The following is an 18,000-nucleotide window of genomic DNA, read 5'->3' on the forward strand; positions in this document are numbered from 1 at the left end:
GATATGATTGATCATATCAAAATATCATATCAATATTTGGCTATATTGTATTTCAAGGATAATAAAATAGTCATAAGATTTCCTTGATTCCCGGGCAAGATGGTGGAGTAGGAACAGCTCTGGTCTGCAGCTCCCAGCGAGAACAACACAGAAGGTGGGTGATTTCTGCTTTTCCAGTGAGGTACCTGGTTCATCCCACTGGGACGGGTTAGATAGTGGGTGCAGCCCACAGAGGGCGAGCAGAAGCAGGGTTGGGCATCGCCTCACCCAGGAAGCACAAAGGGTTGGGGAACTCCCTCCCCTAGCCAAGGGCAGCCATGAGGGACGGTGCTATTTAGCCCAGATACCATGTTTATCTCACGGTCTTCGCAATCTGCAGACCAGGAGATTCCCTTGGGTGCCTTTACCACCAGGACCCTGGGTTTCAAGCACAAAACTGGGTGGCCATTTGGGCAGACACTGAACTAGTTGCAGGAGTTTTTTTTCATACCCAGTGGCACCTGGAACACCAGCGAGACAGAACCATTCACTACCCTGGAAAGTGGGCTGAAGCCAGGGAGCCAGATGGTCTTGCTCAATGGATCCCACTCCCATGGAGCCCAACAAGCTAAGATCCACTGGCTTGAAATTCTCGCTGCCAGCACAGCAGTCTGAAGTTGACCTAGGAAGCTTGAGCTTGGTGGGGGGAGGGGCGTCCACCATTGCTGAGGCTTGAGTAGTCTGTTCTCCCCTCACAGTGTAAACAAAGCCACTGGGAAGTTCGGACTAGGCAGAGCCCATAACAGTGCCACAAAGCCGCTGTAGCCAGACTGCCTCTCTACATTTCTCCTCTCTGGGCAGGGAATCTCTGAAAGAAAGGCAGCAGCCCCAGTCAGGGGCTTATAGATAAAACTGCCATCTCCCTGGGACGGAGCACATGGGGGAAGGGGCAGCTGTGGGTGCAGCTTCAGCAGACTTAAATGTTCCCGTATGCTGGCTCTGAAGAGAGCAGAGGATCTCCCAGCACAGTGCTCGAGCTCTGCTAAGGGTCAGGCTGCCTCCTAAAGTGGGTTCCTGACCCCTGTGCCTCCTGATGGGGAGACACCTCCCAGCAGGGGTCGATAGACACCTCATACAGGAGAGCTCTGGCTGGCATCTGGTGGGTGCCCCTCTGGGAGGAAGCTTCCAGAGGAGGAAGCAGGCAGCAATCTTTGCTGTTCTTCAGCCTCTGCTGGTGATACCAGGGCAAAAGGGTCTGGAGTGGACCTCCAGCAAACTCCAACAGACCTGCAGAAGAGGGGCCTGACTGTTAGAAGGAAAACTAACAAACAGAAAGCAATAGTATCAACATCAACAAAAAGGATGACCATGCAAAAACCCTATTCGAAGCTTACCAACATCAAAGACCAAAGGTAGATAAATTCACAAATATGAGGAAAGACCAGTGCAAAAAGGCTGAAAATTCCAAAAACCAGAATGCCTCTTCTCCTCCAAAGGATCACGACTCCTCGCCAGCAAGGGAACAAAACTGGGCGGAGAATGAGTATGACTAATTGACAGAAGAAGGCTTCAGAAGGTGGGTAATAACAAACTCATCCAAGCTAAAGGAGCATGTTCTAACCCAATGCAGGGAAGCTAAGAACCTTGATATGAGGTTACAGGAACTGCTAACTAGAATAACCAGTTTAGGGAATGACATAAATGACCTGATGGAGATGAAAAACACAGCACGAGACCTTTGTGAAGCATACACAAGTATCAATAGCTGAATCGATCAAGTGGAAGAAAGGATATCCGAGATTGAAGATCAACTTAATGAAATAAAGCATGAAGACAAGATTAGAGAAAAAAGAATGCAAAGGAACAAACAAAGCCTCCAAGAAATATGGGACTATGTGAAAAGACCAAACCTATGTTTGATTGGTGTACCTGAAAGTGACAGGGAGAATGGAACCAAGTTGGAAAACACACTTCAGGATATTATCCAGGAGCACTTCCCCTACCTAGCAAGACAGGCCAACATTCAAATTCAGGAAATACAGAGAACGCCACAAAGATACTCCTAGAGAATGGCAACCCCAAGGCACATAATTGTCAGATTCTCTACGGTTGAAATGAAGGAAAAAATGTTAAGGGAAGCCAGAGGGAAGATCAGGTTATCCACAAAGGGAAGCCCATCAGACTAACAGCAGATCTCTCTGCAGAAACCCTACAAACCAGAAGAGAGTGGGGGCCAATATTCAACATTCTTAAAAGAATTTTCAACCTAGAATTTCACATCCAGCCAAACTAAGCTTCATAAGTGAAGGAGAAATAAAATCTTTTCCAGACAAGCAAATGCTGAGGAATTTTATTACCACCAGGCCTGCCTTACAAGAGTTCCTGAAGAAAGAGTTCATGTCCTTTACAGGGACATGGATGAAGCTGGAAACCATCATTCTCAGCAAACTAACACAGGAACAGAAAACCAAACACCACATGTTCTCACTCATAAGTGGGAGCTGAGCAATGAGAACATATGGGCACAGTGGGGGGAACATCACACACTGGGGCCTGTCGGGGGGTGGGGGGCAAAGGGAGGGATAGCATTAGGAGAAATACCTAATGTAGATGACAGGTTGATGGGTGCAGCAAACCACCACGGCACATGTATACCTATGTAACAAACCTGCACGTTCTGCACATGTATCCCAGAACTTAAAGTATAATAACAAAAAATCTATAGATTATTAAAGAAGACGACTGCGGCCGGGCATGGTGGCTTACGCCTGTAATCCCAGCACTTTGGGAGGCCGAGGTGGGCGGATCACGAGGTCAGGAGATCCAGACCATCCTGGCTAACACGGTGGAACCCCGTTTCTACTTAAAAAAAAACAAACAATTAGCCGGGTGTGGTGGCGGGAGCCTGTAGTCCCAGCTACTCCGGAGGCTGAGGTAGGAGAATTGCGTGAACCCGGGAGGCAGAGCTTGCAGTGAGCCAAGAGTGCGCCACTGCACTCCAGCCTGGGCGACAGAGTGAGACTCCGTCTCAAAGAAAAAAAAAAAGAAAGAAAAAAGAAAAAAGGAAGGCTGCAACTCAGGAATCCTGTAGCCAGTGATCATGGCACTGACTATAAGGAGAAAATATTGTTGTACAGGAATTCAGTGAAGATTCCTTTACATCATACAGTCTAAGGTATACACACTAGAAAAGACTAGAGGAAAAAAATAGTGACCTCAAATGGGGCAAGAATGTGGGGAGGGGAAGTCTTTAAATCTAATGGATATGAATAAACAGCCTGCAATGTGTGGAATAAGAACCCAATTAGATTCTTGAAACTGAAAGCTATGAATTTAAGGGAAATCTAAAATTAATAAAAGCAAAATGTAGGGGTTGAGATTGGGGTGAGAGAAAAGAAGAAATAAAAACTGTTCTAAGATTTCTTGTCAGGGGCAAGGATGTGGGTAGCAGAGGTGGGGTCAGAGTGTGCCCTGAAGGGCATGTAAAATTTTTGCTTTATTGAAATGAGGGGAAAAGGGAGAAATTGTTCATCTTGGAAATGAAAAAAAATCACCTCTTCATGGGTATTTTGTCAAGAATCATTTTATTTGGTTAAAATGTATATAGAACACCTTAAATTCTAATATGTAAAGATTTGTATGGCAAATAAAAAAATTGTATGGCAAATAAAAAGGTGATTGTCAAAAAAAAAAAAAGATTTCCTTGACTTCCAGAGGGCAAAGAAGATTTGATTAGCATGTCCAAAAATATATACATAATTTCTTAGAACTTGTCTGAGAGGCAAAGAGCAGGGCTAGACTGTGAAAATATGAAGTATTTATAAGGTGTGGCAATTTGTCAAAAATCACCACAAATGGAATTCCCGATATAGTACTTCAGTAATAATCTATATAGTGTCCAAAGTAAAAGTGAATGTATATTCTGGCTGTCAAAGACACCTTACCTGAACCATAGGAATCGTAAAGCTTAAAGAATTCTGCATTTTTCCCAGAAAGACATTTGTTTGAGTGTCTTTTAACCTAAGAGGTTCAGAATACATTGCACAAACTCTTGTGTTTCTAGTAGGAGCTTTTTGCTTCTCGTGGATAAGGATTGAACAGGCAAATGCACACAGGCTTTAATAGAGAAGGCTTAGGAATTACTTAGGGCAGACACTACGAAGGGGTAAAAAAGGATGAAACAAACAGAATGAAAACCTGGGACACACAGGAACAAAACCTCAGGGAACAGATATACTGATTCTACAGCATTTATGATCCAACTGGACAAGCCTATCCCAAGCCAGGTGAACAGCAAAGGAAAACCAGCCAGAACCATTCTGGACTAGGGAAGGAAGTAAATGGGATGAACAAAAGCAAAACCTATTGCAACATGCAAGTCTGCCCATGACTTGATTCCCTTAAAGACAGTCTCTTGTTTGTTACCGTAACCTGTAACTTACCTTGGAACATTTTCCCACCTTTCAATTCCCTCTCCTACATACAACACACATGGACATGCACACACACATTCATATATACACATGCACAAGTATGCAAATGGCATGAAGCAAAGCACATACAATTTGCATTATTGAGTACATTTCTCATTGGAAAGGCAGAGTAGATCTAAGATTTTACAAAAGTGTCTACTCAATTAATTGAGATAATGAACATGGGCTCTAAGTACAGTGTCTGGCCTATAGTAGGTAGATATTAGCTATTATTATCATATTAAAAGATCTATTACTCTGTATATACAAATGTAATTACAATCCTTTTAATGATTCTTTGAAGCATAATTATAGCAAAATGGGCTCAAGTTATAACTTACCCAAGATCACTAGTGAAGGCAGTGTTGTAATTAAAATCCAAAGGCTTTCTGGCTATGGAGACCACATTATTTCTTACTGGGTAAAATTGCTTGCTAATTGGATAATTCAATATCACACTATTGGGATACTGAAAGGGTTAAAATCATGCCCCATCTTGCACCAAATAGGTAAAACAGAAATAACACACAACAAAATAACTAATCCAGAACCCGATACTCTTTTATAATCTATTAGCTTCACTCAGAAATACAAGCTATAGGATTGATTGAGAAGTTTATTTCTGCTGGAAAAATTAACGTTGTGTATGCTGAAGCTTCCTGTGCTAATAATTCTCTCAAGTATAACACTTGAGCTTGAGCCTCCATAAATTGTGCTAACCTCAAGATTAGCCTCCTTCATTTACCTGCTTATCTGACCCCATGGGAGTTTATAATTAATCAGACCGGCACTCACCTATCATATCAATTCACAGGTTCACACAAACATGTGCTTTATTTACTAACAGATAATCCATGCTGCACTCAGCTGCACATATTAATCTTATTAAAACGGTGATTGCATTATATCCTTTTCTTGCTCAGAAATGACCAAAGCTTCCACATAGCTACTGAGTTGAGGGCCTTACAGCTCAGCTTACGCTTAGGACTTTCCGTAGAATAAGTCTACCTTCTAATCCAAATTCTCCCATCGCTAATTTTGAGTCACACAAATTCATGCTGTTCCACCATATTTTCCCTTTCTTTCCATTCAAATTCTAGAACTCCATCATTCCCCATGACATAGTCCACAGGATTTGGCTTATCTCTGATTTCTAACAAGAACTGATAATAGCAATCACTTTGTTTCATATAATCTATTGCATTAGACTATGCTAGGAGAGTATGTTTTATCTCAACAACATTTCAAGTGTCAGGGGAACAAAAGCAATTTCTGATAAATGCCTTTCAGGATCTAGCACAGTACTTCATATCTAGTCAGCCCTAGATCAATTCACCCATTCACGAAGTCAGTATTATTAAGCACCTATTATGTGCCAAATACTATATTATTATTTCAGAATATAATAGAAAACAAGCTAGACATGATCATTGATCTTATAAAACTTACATTTAATAAGAATGAGAAAATTATCAGCCTTTTTAATAAAGTAGGATAAGTGGGAAGATGGGGAAAAGTTCACGTGCCAGCAGATATGGCAGCAGTGGAGATGGGGTGAGAGCCAGGAAGGGATTTTAGAGCAGGCATCATTGATTATATAAATGAAGCAGGAAGAGAGAAAAGGAAGGCGAAAGGGACGGACAAGTGTTAAATGTTTGCAATGACACATTCCTGAACTTTGGTTTCATGTAGACAAATACATACAGACACACACCCATGTACTACAACTGTGTACCCACTTATGTACCGTAAAATAGTGAAGTCTGATTCTAACTCATAAATCTACAGCCACCTATTTTCAGCTGAGATCCACCACAATTCCACTACACACTTGAATTAGTGGAAATCTAAGTCCAACGATTCATTTACTTTCCCTCCTCGATTAACAATTGTTATGAGATATCCAGATACCTGCTACAAATATTCTCTCTTATAATATCAATGCAAATATTCCCAATCTACATGTCAAGATGCACCATAGCATGTAATCCGTTTCTATATTTATTTATTTATTCCTTTGAGAGAGTTCCAGAAAGTCCATTTTGAAGCTCAAATAAAGTTCCATTTTAAATTCCAATTCTAGGTTAAGATTTATGCCAGCTCTTATTTAGCATAGGCACCCATCCGTGCCCATAGGCCTTTCTGGATCTGAGATATGGAATAATTCTGCATGTATTTACATTCCTCCAGTCTGCTTATTCAGCAAGCTTTCTAAATGGATGCTAGTTTGTGCCTGAATAATAAATGGAGTCAATCTGGACTTAAAGGGGATTTCAGAATCAGGGCACAAGGTCAGACATGGACACTCCCAGAAACTGATACAAAAATGTAAACCATGTGGAAGATTATCTTCTCTAGAAGTTCCCCCCAGAAGGAGGTGAGAGAGAATGCACTTTGTGGGTATATTGGAAATAACTGTTCTAGGTAGCAGGAAGGCAAATACAAAGATTCCGAGGCAGGAGCACGCCTGACATGTTTAAAGAAGAGTAATGGGGAAGAGAGACAGAAGTTGAGGGCAAAGGGTTATTTTTATTTATTTGTTTGTTTATTTATTTTGAGATGGAGTCTCACTCTGTCATCCAGGCTGGAGTTCAGTGGGGCAATCTTGGCTGACAGCAACCTCTGCCTTCTGGGTTCAAGCAATTCTCCTGCCTCAGCCTCCTGAGCAGCTGGGATTACAGGTGCCCACTACCACACCCGGCAGATTTTTGTAGTTTTTGTAGAGACACGGTTTCACAATGTTGGCCAGGCTGGCCTCGAACTCCTGACCTCAAGTGATCCACCCATGTCGGTATCCCAGAGTGCTGGGATTACAGTAGTGAACCACTGCGCCCAGCCTGGCAAAGGGTTATTTTGTTGTGGTTGTTGGGGAAGGAGGGGTCCCAATTACATAAGGCCTTGTGGGTCTTTATAACAATAAGGTTTTTGTTTTTGTTTTTAACCCTGATTGCAATGAGCCACTAGGTTTTGAGCTAAGACATGATTTCACAGACATTTATATTTGAAGTATTCCCCTTTTCATCCTTCATTTAGCTTGAGCAGATGAGTGGATTTCTCCAGAAAGACCAAGAAAGAGAACACCTTACATAGAATAGAAGCAACTGGTTATTTTATAAAGATATTAAGATTCTAGAGTTTAATTATACAACATTCCTTTAAGATGGCTGAACTATATCTGATTATATATTTTTTTAATTTATTATTAATTTTGCTTTCCAACTAGTTTCCCTTCTGGGAATTTTCCTTGCAGAAAGCACAGGCTATTACAGAATATGAGAATCAGCCTGTCAGATATTCTGCTAGATAACTCCAGGGATGTTCTCTTGTTTAAACCTCACAAGAATCCTGCAAAGTAGGTGTTATGTTCCACGAGATGAGAAAGCAAACTTGGAGAGGATAATTGGTTCAAGGTCACATAGTTATAAATGCTGGAGAAAACTCGGAACTCAGGACCACCTGCCTCTGAGGGCCTTGGTCATTCTGTGGCTGTCTCAGTGATCCCTGCTTGTCAATTAAAACTCTTAATACAACTGGGCACTGTGGCTCGTGCCTGTAATCCCAGCGCTTTGGGAGGCCAAGACTGGTGGATCACTTGAGGCCAGGAGTTCAAGACTTGCCTGGCCAAAATGGAGAAAGCCTGTCTCCACTAAAAAAAAAAAAAAAAAAAAAAAAAAAAAAAAAAATAGCCATTCTTGGTGGCAGGTGCCTGTAATCCCAGCTACTCGGGAGGCTGAGGCAGGAGAATTGCTTGAATGTGGAAGGTGGAGGTTGCAGTGAGCCGAGATCGCGCCACTGCACTCCAGCCTGGGCGACAGAGCGAGACTCCATCTCAAAACAAAACAAAACTCTTCATAAAGCTTTTATGGGTACTTAGAACACACTGCTTCAAAACACGTTACCTTAGAAATTGAGAAAACACCAGAAGCAGAAAGGTAATTCTCTGACTTTCCCCAACCTTTCTGTGTGAAGGTTATTCACAAAGGCCAGCTTTCATCATCCCTGAAAATGGGCCATAAGATCTTCATGTGACAGGTGTCCTGCCGCATACCTGAAGGAAAAGAATGCTACACAGAGAGATGAAGAAAAATCTCAATAAACATGCCTTTCTCAGTTCCCCGTAGTTTATTACCTTTGGTCATACATACATTGCTTGAACCCAGGAGGTGGGGGTTGCCGTGAGCTGAGGTCATGCCACTGCACCCCAGACTGGGTTTCAGAGCGAGACTCCATCTCAAAAAAAAAAAAAAAAAAAAAAAGAAAAGAAAAGAAAAAAAATTCTAGTTTTTCAAGCAGTCTTTCAAAATTTTGATAAGCCTGAATCAACACCACAGAATCCTTGGTAAGTCAGGTAAAGCTGAATTGCTAATCTGAACTCCTAAGCGTCACATCTTTTTCCTTGGCTCTTCCACCAAACCATTGCTACTCATGAAAATATACCCTCTCTGAAGTAGCCAGCTGAACAAACCTTTATGCAATAAGTTGAAGCGGAATGTAGTGTGTGTGTTTATGTGATGCATGCTCATGTGCACATGCATGCAGGGAGGACAGAGAAAAAGAGAGAGAGAATGAGAGGTCTTGGTTCCAGTCATGCAAAAGTGTATCCATCCTGCAGGCACGCAAGGCAGAAGGCACACACCCGACTGAACTTGCCAGGCTCAGCCTTCAAATTCACACTTGGCAGTGGGAGCTGCTTATTAGCACCAACCTCACCTTCTTTAGAGTTTCGTTTGCAAATGAGATATTTCATCAATCTATGGATTCCCTGTTTTTTTGTCTTAGTCACCACTCATTCTTTCTCTCACTGGCTCACTGTTTTGTTTTTGTTTTTGTTTTTGTTTTTAAGCCCTTTTTTTGAGAAAAGAAAAGGAAATGCATCATTGTTACTAGGTACAGCAACAAACTAAACAAATCTTTTCCTCTACTTCTACGAAATGAAGCCTTTCACTTTTATCTTCCCAAACTAACTGGAAGAAAGAGGCTTTCTTGTTTTCCCCCTCAGCAGTGGAAGTGAACGCCTTCTATTCAACAACTCCACCCACGAGCTGGTGCCTTCCTCTCTCAAAGGGTCAGTAAAGTCTGCAGACCCCATGGAAGCGCAGATGTAAGAATGACCCATAGAACTCCCATAAGAACTCAGATGTCCATTTTGAACAATACCTGCTTTAAGGCTTTATAAAGAGGCAGAGAGGGAAATCCATTCTAGAGGGAGCAGTGATTTTAGAATAGGTGCTTGTCTCCACAGCTACATGGGGAAAGAACAGAAGTAAACTTAGGCTGGAATACCCAAGAGGAAACGTGGGGTAGAAAATGAAGGAAGAAGTTTCCAGGCAACAAATGCCACCTCGCATGGCCCTCACTACACACCAGTTTGAATCACACCTTACATTTGGCTAAATCAGTTGTTTAGATGAAAGTGAGAATGAGGCCAAATTAACATATAATTTTGGCTAGAGACCCAAGGTGTTAGAATCACAAAGATCTTTGTTCAAATCTCATTTCCTACACTTATAAGCTATGGATTTTGGGCAAGGTGTTGAACACCTCTGGCCATGATTTTCCCATATGTATAACAGCAAGAGACAATCAGAGTGGTTGGGATCATTAAGGAAAACAACACTTGGGAAATAGCTTTTCAGTAAAGCATAGGGACAGGCTTCCTCGGAGGGTCCTGTGTGATTACCAAAAAAAAAAAAAAAAAAAAAAAAAGAGGGATTCCACACTTGGCTGGCCAGAGGGAGGCTGTCCAAAGTAGGCAGGTTTTTTTTGTTTTTGTTTTTTTTTAATAGCTGATTAACAACTGTGTTCCCACTCACACATCAGCCCCAACTTATCCTCTAACCTTGAGAAAATTAATCACAAAGAAATGGTGTCAGGTGAAGGGAAAGTCAAGCAGGGAGAGGAAAGCTGAGTTATAATTCTCCCTCTGTGCCCAACACATTATACCACCATATGCAGGTCACATAAACTTTCTGGGCCTTATTTTCCTTTGTGTAAAATGAATGAGTTGGGCTAGACTAAGCTTAGAGGTCCCAAATTCTAAAACTCTTTGTGGACTTAATTTCCCGAATAGGGGAAGGGCCATTTCTAGCTCTGTAAGGATGACAGCAGTTGACAAATGTCCACAGATCCTGTGTGATGGTCAGTTATCTTTTCCAATTATGGTTGCTCCTCAGCTGAGGAGCAATCTCAAACCAGCCTGCAGGGATCTGTGCAATAAGGGAAGGGGCAAAGCTATCAAGGGTAATAATCAAAGCTTGGCCATTTAACGGGGAAGCTGTTAGGCAAATTCACTGCTTTACTCCAGGAGCATTTTCCCTGACCTAACATCCTGCAGAGCAGGACAGAAGAGGGCTCAGCTGCCTCTCCAAGAGACAAATGGGTCTTGCATGATTTGCACTTGCAAGTCACTTCAAATATTAATTATAAAATCATCTATTTACTTTTTTTTGTCCTTTCTTGCAAATCATTCTAAAAATAATGTCATTTAAACACTGATTCACTGGCTGTGCCCAAGTGAACTCCCCAGGGAAATCCTAGCCACTGTAATATTTGAAAATGCCCCTCTAAATTAGCAAGCCTTGCACAGACTCTATTGGGAAATTCAATCATCCCTTTGTTACTGGGTATTTTTATTTGTGGCTCCCTGAAAGAACTGAAGTTCACCCACCTTCAATTCCAATCAGTCTGAAATGATATGGATAGGCCGTGAGTTTAGTGGCAGCAACTCCATTAATATTAATATACAATAAAGAACCACAACATTTAATAAAAACAAAAGCTACAAACTATATCTGAAAGCCTTTTAAGAGCAGGGTAAATAAATGCTCTAGTGATATTTTTCCTCTTCTCTTATCATCAAAACTCTTAAACAAGCATAAAACAGGCTTTGTTGACTTTTATACCTTTCTTCCATTCAAATGCAAAAAACCGAGGGGATGTTTACTATGTTTAATTAGCTTCATAATGCCTGGGTTTCCTTAACCTGAGTGAGGTAGTTGGTTACTAAAAGTAGAAGCTCACAATTTATTAGCAGTGCCACCAAATGTTTCTACCTAATGCTGATGAATGCAACTGCAAAAACATGAACTTTTAAATCCCTGAATTCTACAAACAGAAAAGGGAAATGATTTGGGGTCCTGGAAGGAAGCCATAATGAAGGAAAAATAATTAGTATGAAACAGAATCTCACTTGAAAATGGGGCCTCTAGATTTCAGACCGATCCAAGCTCCCTCACTAAAAATGCAGGCATTTCATCTAAACAATGTGGAAGCACTGACTGGATAAATATCTAAATGAATGGAATTCCTTGTGAGCTGCTCCCCATTTCCTGATCTTTTTAGCTAAAGTGCAGACACAGGAAATCTGAGATCTTTAAGATATTTTATCTTATTTTATTTACTGTTTTTAGAGATAGAGTCTCACTGTGTTGCCCAGGCTGGACTGCAGTGGCACAATCATAGCTCACTGCAGCCTCAAACTCCTGGGCTCAAGAGACCATCACACCTCAACCTCCCAAGTAACTGGGACTACAGGTGTGTACCACCATGCCTGGCTGATATTTTGTAGAGATGGGTGGTGGGGGGCGGTCTCACCATGTTACTTACCCAGGCTGGTCTGGAATGCCTAACCTCAAGCAATTCTCCCACCTCAGCCTCCCAGAATACTGGGATTACAGATGTGAGTCCCCTGCTAGTCCAGGAAGATATTTTAATGGTGATCCTTTCAGACCACCCATTCTACACTTGACTTTTGGTTACAACATCCCTCCTACGTGCTTGACCCAGCAGCCTTATCCTTTCCTTCAGCTTGCCTAAGCCTTAAGCAGGCTTCTTCCTGACTCTAGGTCCCTAATGTCCCTTTCCTTATAGCATTTACTTTAGAAAACATGTAATTATAAATCCTTTCTCTGCCCCTTTGACATGTAAATCTTTTTAAAAGCCTCTTGTCAGTTTTGCAACCTCTCTCAAGGACCTAGGAGCCATCTCTTTGAAATGTAATCAACAAGGAGACAGCATCGCTATCTCCCAGTTTTTCTGAGAGTTGAACATTCCTGCCTTATTCTAAGTTGCAAAACTACCTTCTATCATAAAGACAAGGAAAGTGTATTTTCCCTTTGGATAAAGACAATTGATAAATACAGATGGCTTATGACTTCCCCTTAACAACCTCCAGGCCTTTTTCCCGAGCTCACCCAACTCTTAGAAAAACCCTTCCCGTTCTTCAGCAGAGAGTTGAGTCTAGATTTAGTTCTAGCTTCCACTCCCTATTGCAATATCCTTGAATAAACTTCCTTGCCTGCTTAGCTTTGGCCAGTGCAATTTTCGCTGCTGATACTTAAAGGTTTCTGGACATGAGCAGGGGTCCCAGCACCTATCTTCTTGGGTATTCATTCTTTCCTTCATCAACCCTGACCTTAGACAATTCTTCCCTACAAGGAAGCACAATCTGTCTCACTAGGAATTCTACCCACTGATCATGGTTCTACCCTTGGGGTCTGTATAGAATATGCCTAATATTTTACACATCCTTTAAATATCTGAAGAAAGCTTCTCTGCTCCAGGTTAAACCTTCCCAGGGCCTTCACAGAAGGTGCTGAGCCTTAGGTTCATATTTGTCTTTGTCAAAGGATCTCCCTAAGGGAGTGCCTGAAGATATAGTAACTCCAGGTATAGAAGAGGCAACTAAAGGGGTTTTGTTTTACCTGAGAAAAATAAAATTTACGGTGTGATAATTCAGGATATAACCCACAGATCAGGTATCCTCAGAATGAATTACAAATGCATTCAGCTTTCAGTAATGTTTTCTTAACCCTATAAATAAAAGCAATCTATGTGAGGTTTGAGCAGCCCAGGGAAAGGATACCAAGACTTGGTACTTTTATCTCATTAAAACCCTCAAGAAAAAAACACTATATATTCAATTACGGGGGTGAGAAGAATAATAGCTAGTAATTTTTTTTCTAGACTACAGTCATGACCTTGAAAACTCGATGATGTTCATAACATTAGTTTTATTTTAAAAATTCTATTTTTCTCCTGCAGACTTTGCTATATATACTCATATTCACCCTCCCTCCTTTCACTACTTGAAGTTTCATCTCTCTAAGGTCTAGACATTCTCCTATTTTGAATGTTTTCCCACGTTCTCACCCCTGTCAAAATATTCAGCATGATTTTTAAAATTAAGGGGTAATCAGTCAGTCAGGTAATCAGGTTATTTTATTATTTGACCAACTAGGTTCTTCATCAAAGAAAATATCATTAAGTTACAAGTATGTTAATAGTTGACCCTGAGAGGCCCGCTTGGTTCTCACTGAAAAGATGGAAATCACAAGCTCATTAAGTACCTTTTTCTTTCTAAAAAGGTATTACTTGAGCAATCTCTGTTGCTCCTTTTTCACAGCTCCCTTATATTCAAAAGTAATATTTTATTTTCACAACATATATTTTATTTGTATCTTTCTTCTGAAATATATTTTCAAAATAATTTTATAGAACTATGTACTGACAGTACCTTGTATCCTAGGCTTAGAGCTCTTCAAGGGCAAAGTTATTTATCTTATTAGCCTATAATAAGCAGTATAGTGCCTAACACATCATATATCTCAATAAATATAAAGATATAAAAATTGAGAAAATTAATTGAGGTAATCTTCCCAACAATTTTATAGGACAGAGAATGGGATGGATATTTATTTCCATTTTTCTTTTTTTTCTTTTGAGATGGAGTCTCACTCTTGTCGCCCAGGCTGGAGTGCAGTAGGGCAATCTCGGCTCACTGCAACCTCCGCCTCCCAGGTTCCGGCAATTCTCCTGCCTCAGCCTGCCGAGTACCTGGGATTACAGGCACCTGCCATCATGCCCAGCTAATTTTTGTATTTTTTTTTTTAGTAGAGACAGGGTTTCACCGTGATGGCCAGGCTGGTCTGAAACTCCTGACCTTAAATGATCCACCTGCCTCGGCCTCCCAAAGTGCTGGGATTACAGGAGTGAGCCACCGCACCTGGCCTATTGCCATTTTTCAGGCAGGTTAAGTAATTGTTCAATGCAGGATGTGGAAAAATAATCCCTCCTGAATGGTGAATGTACATCTGATTGGAATGACTTTGGGTATGCAATTAGACCTAGAGTCCCAGAGTCCATGTCTATTAAAGATGTGTGTCAATTCTGGTTATTTGGTGGGACATACAAGAGGGATTCTAAATCATGCTACTGTTAGGATTTAGTATGTGAATGTACATGTATGTGGAAGTGTTGGGGGTGGGGAAGGACCAAATTTGCATTTCACTAGCTCTCTTTTTGTTCTTAACAGATAGAATTCATATACTCATTAGATTTGGCTCTGGTAAGAATGACTTCTGCATTATAGGCAATAGATAAGAGGCATAAACCTGGGGGAAGGGGACACTATGCACACTCACAAACAAACAAACAAACAAACAAACAAACACAACCCTAGACAGATTATTTCCTTGTAAGAAACAGTGATGGCAGCCCTCCATACATCAAACAATTCAATCTCTCAGACCCCAAATCATTTCAGTTCCAGAAAGAAGGCCAATATTCACGAACTCATTACCAAGCCTTGATCAATCTTAATATATTGTACGGAACTGTCATTGTAGCTGAAATGGCATTTTTTCTCTCCTTTGATGTTCTTGCAAATGGATTCGTTTGGAGGTAGAATAAGAAGTTTGGGTGACGGAATATAAACACAGTTACAGCTGCTTTCCATGCTGTGGAAAATTGTGAATCGGACACAATTGTGCATAAAGCCAGGCATTATGGTTTTAAAGGATAAGAGGCCTTAATCCTAGCACTTTGGGGAGCTGAGACAGGAGAACTGCTTGAGGCCCAGAGTTCAAAACCAGCCCAGGGAAGCAATATAGCAAGATTCCATCCCTACAAATGATTTAAAAATTAGTCATGTGTGGTGATGCACACCTGTAGTCCTAGTTACTCCAGAGGCTGAGGCAGGAGGACAGCTTAAGCCCAGGAGCTTGAGGTTGCAGTGAGCAATGATCATGCCACTGCCACTCTAGCCTGGGCAACAGAGTGAGATACTGTCTCAAAAACAAAGAAATAGGAGAGTCAAGGGATGGCAAGAGATACTTTTCTGATGATTAAAACATCCTTGCTTTCCTGAAACAGAACTTATTTTTAAGGAATTTTAAGAGTTCATCAGCCAAGTGTGTGGTCATCTGTTCATCCAAGCTCCTGGTCATCTTAGGTTAATTAATGATTTACTGAGTGTTTCTATTTCACTTGATTCACACTCAGTTGAAGAGTTAGAACCATGAAAAATTAGACTTAAGCTTTAAAGATAGCATTCCATCCAGTTCCACAGCACCCTTTACATATGGCAGTCAGAGGTACAGAGCCTCAATGGAGCACTCTGAGTGAAGGAATCAACTTCCAGCGAAGCCCACACCACTGCTTCCTGCCTCTTCATTTCTGACAATACTACGGGACACTAAGGAAACCTACTTGCTTATGATACTACATCAGTCCATGTTCTGCCTTCAGAAGCTTTCTAGAACATATCTGATTTCTTTCCTGTATTGTGTTAAAAGAAATTTTCAGAAAAAAGTACAATCATGACCCTTATGCACATATAAAAATGAACATGAGTTCAATAATTTATTTTGCTCATATGATATGAGGAAATCAAGCAGACGCTATACCAGTTTAAAGGAAAAGTCAAAACACTACAAAATTACATGGAGTAAACGAATGTTGAGCAAATTGCAAATGAAGACAAAGTGATTTTTCCACTGGGAGGGAGGGAAGTCAATTGAAATTCTACTGGAAAAGACAGAATTTGCATACCAGTCAGATACCTACAATTTACAGATGTGCAAAACAGCTTAAAGGCAATAATAGGACTAGAACTGAATATCCTGGATTGGTGTGATATAAATCATGAATACGTTTCCATTGAAGTACTAATTTTTTTTAGTATTGAAGTAGAGTCCTGGTATCTTATATGTAATTCTAAATTGAAAACAAGCAGGGAAAACAAGCAGGGAAAAAACAAGCAGGGGAAAAAAAAGCCCTGACAACTGAAAGCTATTTTTCCAATGTCTGGTGCTTATATATCCCTGTTAGTATGAATATTCATTTATTTTGCTGCATAAATATTAATACATGTTATTACAAGTATTGCCCCAGATACCTCATATATAACATATGCATGTATTAGCCTCTTAAAATCAGAAATCTTTTGAGATCTAAAACTCCTTTAGTTCCCTATTGATGTTTTCCTAGAGTCAGCTTATGGTTTGGTCAATTGTTTACATTTCTTCCAAACTTCACATTCACCGACTTCAACTCGGTAGTTTAAAATTAGCCAAGGGGGATGGTATTTACACAAGAAAACAGTCAAATGCTCCAAATCAGGGCTTTCTTTTGTGCACGTGTGTGTGTGTGTGTGTGTGTGTGTGTGTGTTTCTTCCTGAGGGTCAGTTGTTAAACATTTGTCGGCACACCACTTCCCCTAAAGATTTCAAATAAAGGATTGTGCACCTGTATCCCGGCAATTTACAAAGGACATGTGAAAATGAATAAGGCACATTCCCTGTCCTTAAGGGATTCACACACTAGTGAAGAGCTTGTGGTCTAGTACATAAATTAGTATATTTATAAACATAAGGCTGTTCCAGGGTTTATGCTTCCCCCAAGGTAGCTGTTTCACAACAGCCGTGTTTCTACTGTCCATCATAAAATGAATTAAATCTAAGTGGTTTCAATTCAATAAATATGCAGGAATATAAGGTCCTCTAGTAGATTCTTCAAAAGATATAAATAGTAAACAATGCAGAAGATTAAATTGGAATATGAAAATACACACATTTTACTTAGTAATAACTGGTGATAAAGGCTAAAGGCTTTCCTTGAAATAATCAATCTTGGAGAGAAAATAATATACAATCAAAGTACAATTTGGGAATTTTCTATTTACTCCAAACATTAGCCTCTTTTTTGATGGGACGTTTGATCATCTAACAAAAATATATATACATATTTTTGAGATGGAGTCTCGCTCTGTCACCCAGGCTGGAATACACTGGTGCGATCTCGGCTCACGGCAACCTCTGCCTCCTGGGTTCAAACGATTCTCATGCCTCAGCCTCCCAAGTAGCTGGGACTACAGGTGTGACAAAAATATTTTTAACACTACCCATGTGTCAGGCACTTTGCTGGATATGAGAGATTCAACAACAAAAACGCTTTGCATTCTGTTCCTCAAGAACTTTAATTCTAGTGAAAAAGAATAATGTAAGCATAAATCATAACAATATACTAGGATGCCTGATAAAAGAGAAGTATTGGGTTGAAAACCAGCAGATGCAGTTAATTATTTCAAAGGAGATGCCTTGAAGAAAGAATAAAACTTTGCTAGAGAAGGAAGGAAGGGCATGCTAGTTAGAGAGAGTAGTACATCACACACTTGGATAGTACAGGATCCTTTAGGAAGAGATGTGAGACAGGTTCAAGAGTGGGATGAAGATTTCTATGTCTTCAAGAATGAAGACAAATAAACTTAAGA

General features: G+C 40.5%; 1 protein-coding gene across 25 annotated transcripts in view, besides 2 other annotated features; it reads right to left on the minus strand.

Moving 5' to 3' along the window:
* Positions 1 to 18,000, minus strand: part of LRRC4C (leucine rich repeat containing 4C) — a 1,345,454-nt gene that overhangs the window by 77,883 nt on the left and 1,249,571 nt on the right. The window lies entirely within an intron of this gene.
* Positions 10,405 to 11,000: an enhancer, noted in NCBI's record as "OCT4-NANOG hESC enhancer chr11:40224036-40224631 (GRCh37/hg19 assembly coordinates)". NCBI's record gives its function as "activates a minimal SCP1, AML or CMV promoter by ChIP-STARR-seq in primed H9 embryonic stem cells {active_cell/tissue: H9 hESC(primed)}" and the evidence as "EXISTENCE:reporter gene assay evidence [ECO:0000049][PMID:30033119]".
* Positions 12,064 to 12,846: an enhancer, noted in NCBI's record as "OCT4-NANOG hESC enhancer chr11:40225695-40226477 (GRCh37/hg19 assembly coordinates)". NCBI's record gives its function as "activates a minimal SCP1, AML or CMV promoter by ChIP-STARR-seq in primed H9 embryonic stem cells {active_cell/tissue: H9 hESC(primed)}" and the evidence as "EXISTENCE:reporter gene assay evidence [ECO:0000049][PMID:30033119]".

Source organism: Homo sapiens, chromosome 11, assembly GCF_000001405.40.
Source record: "Homo sapiens chromosome 11, GRCh38.p14 Primary Assembly".
NCBI lineage: Eukaryota > Metazoa > Chordata > Mammalia > Primates > Hominidae > Homo > Homo sapiens.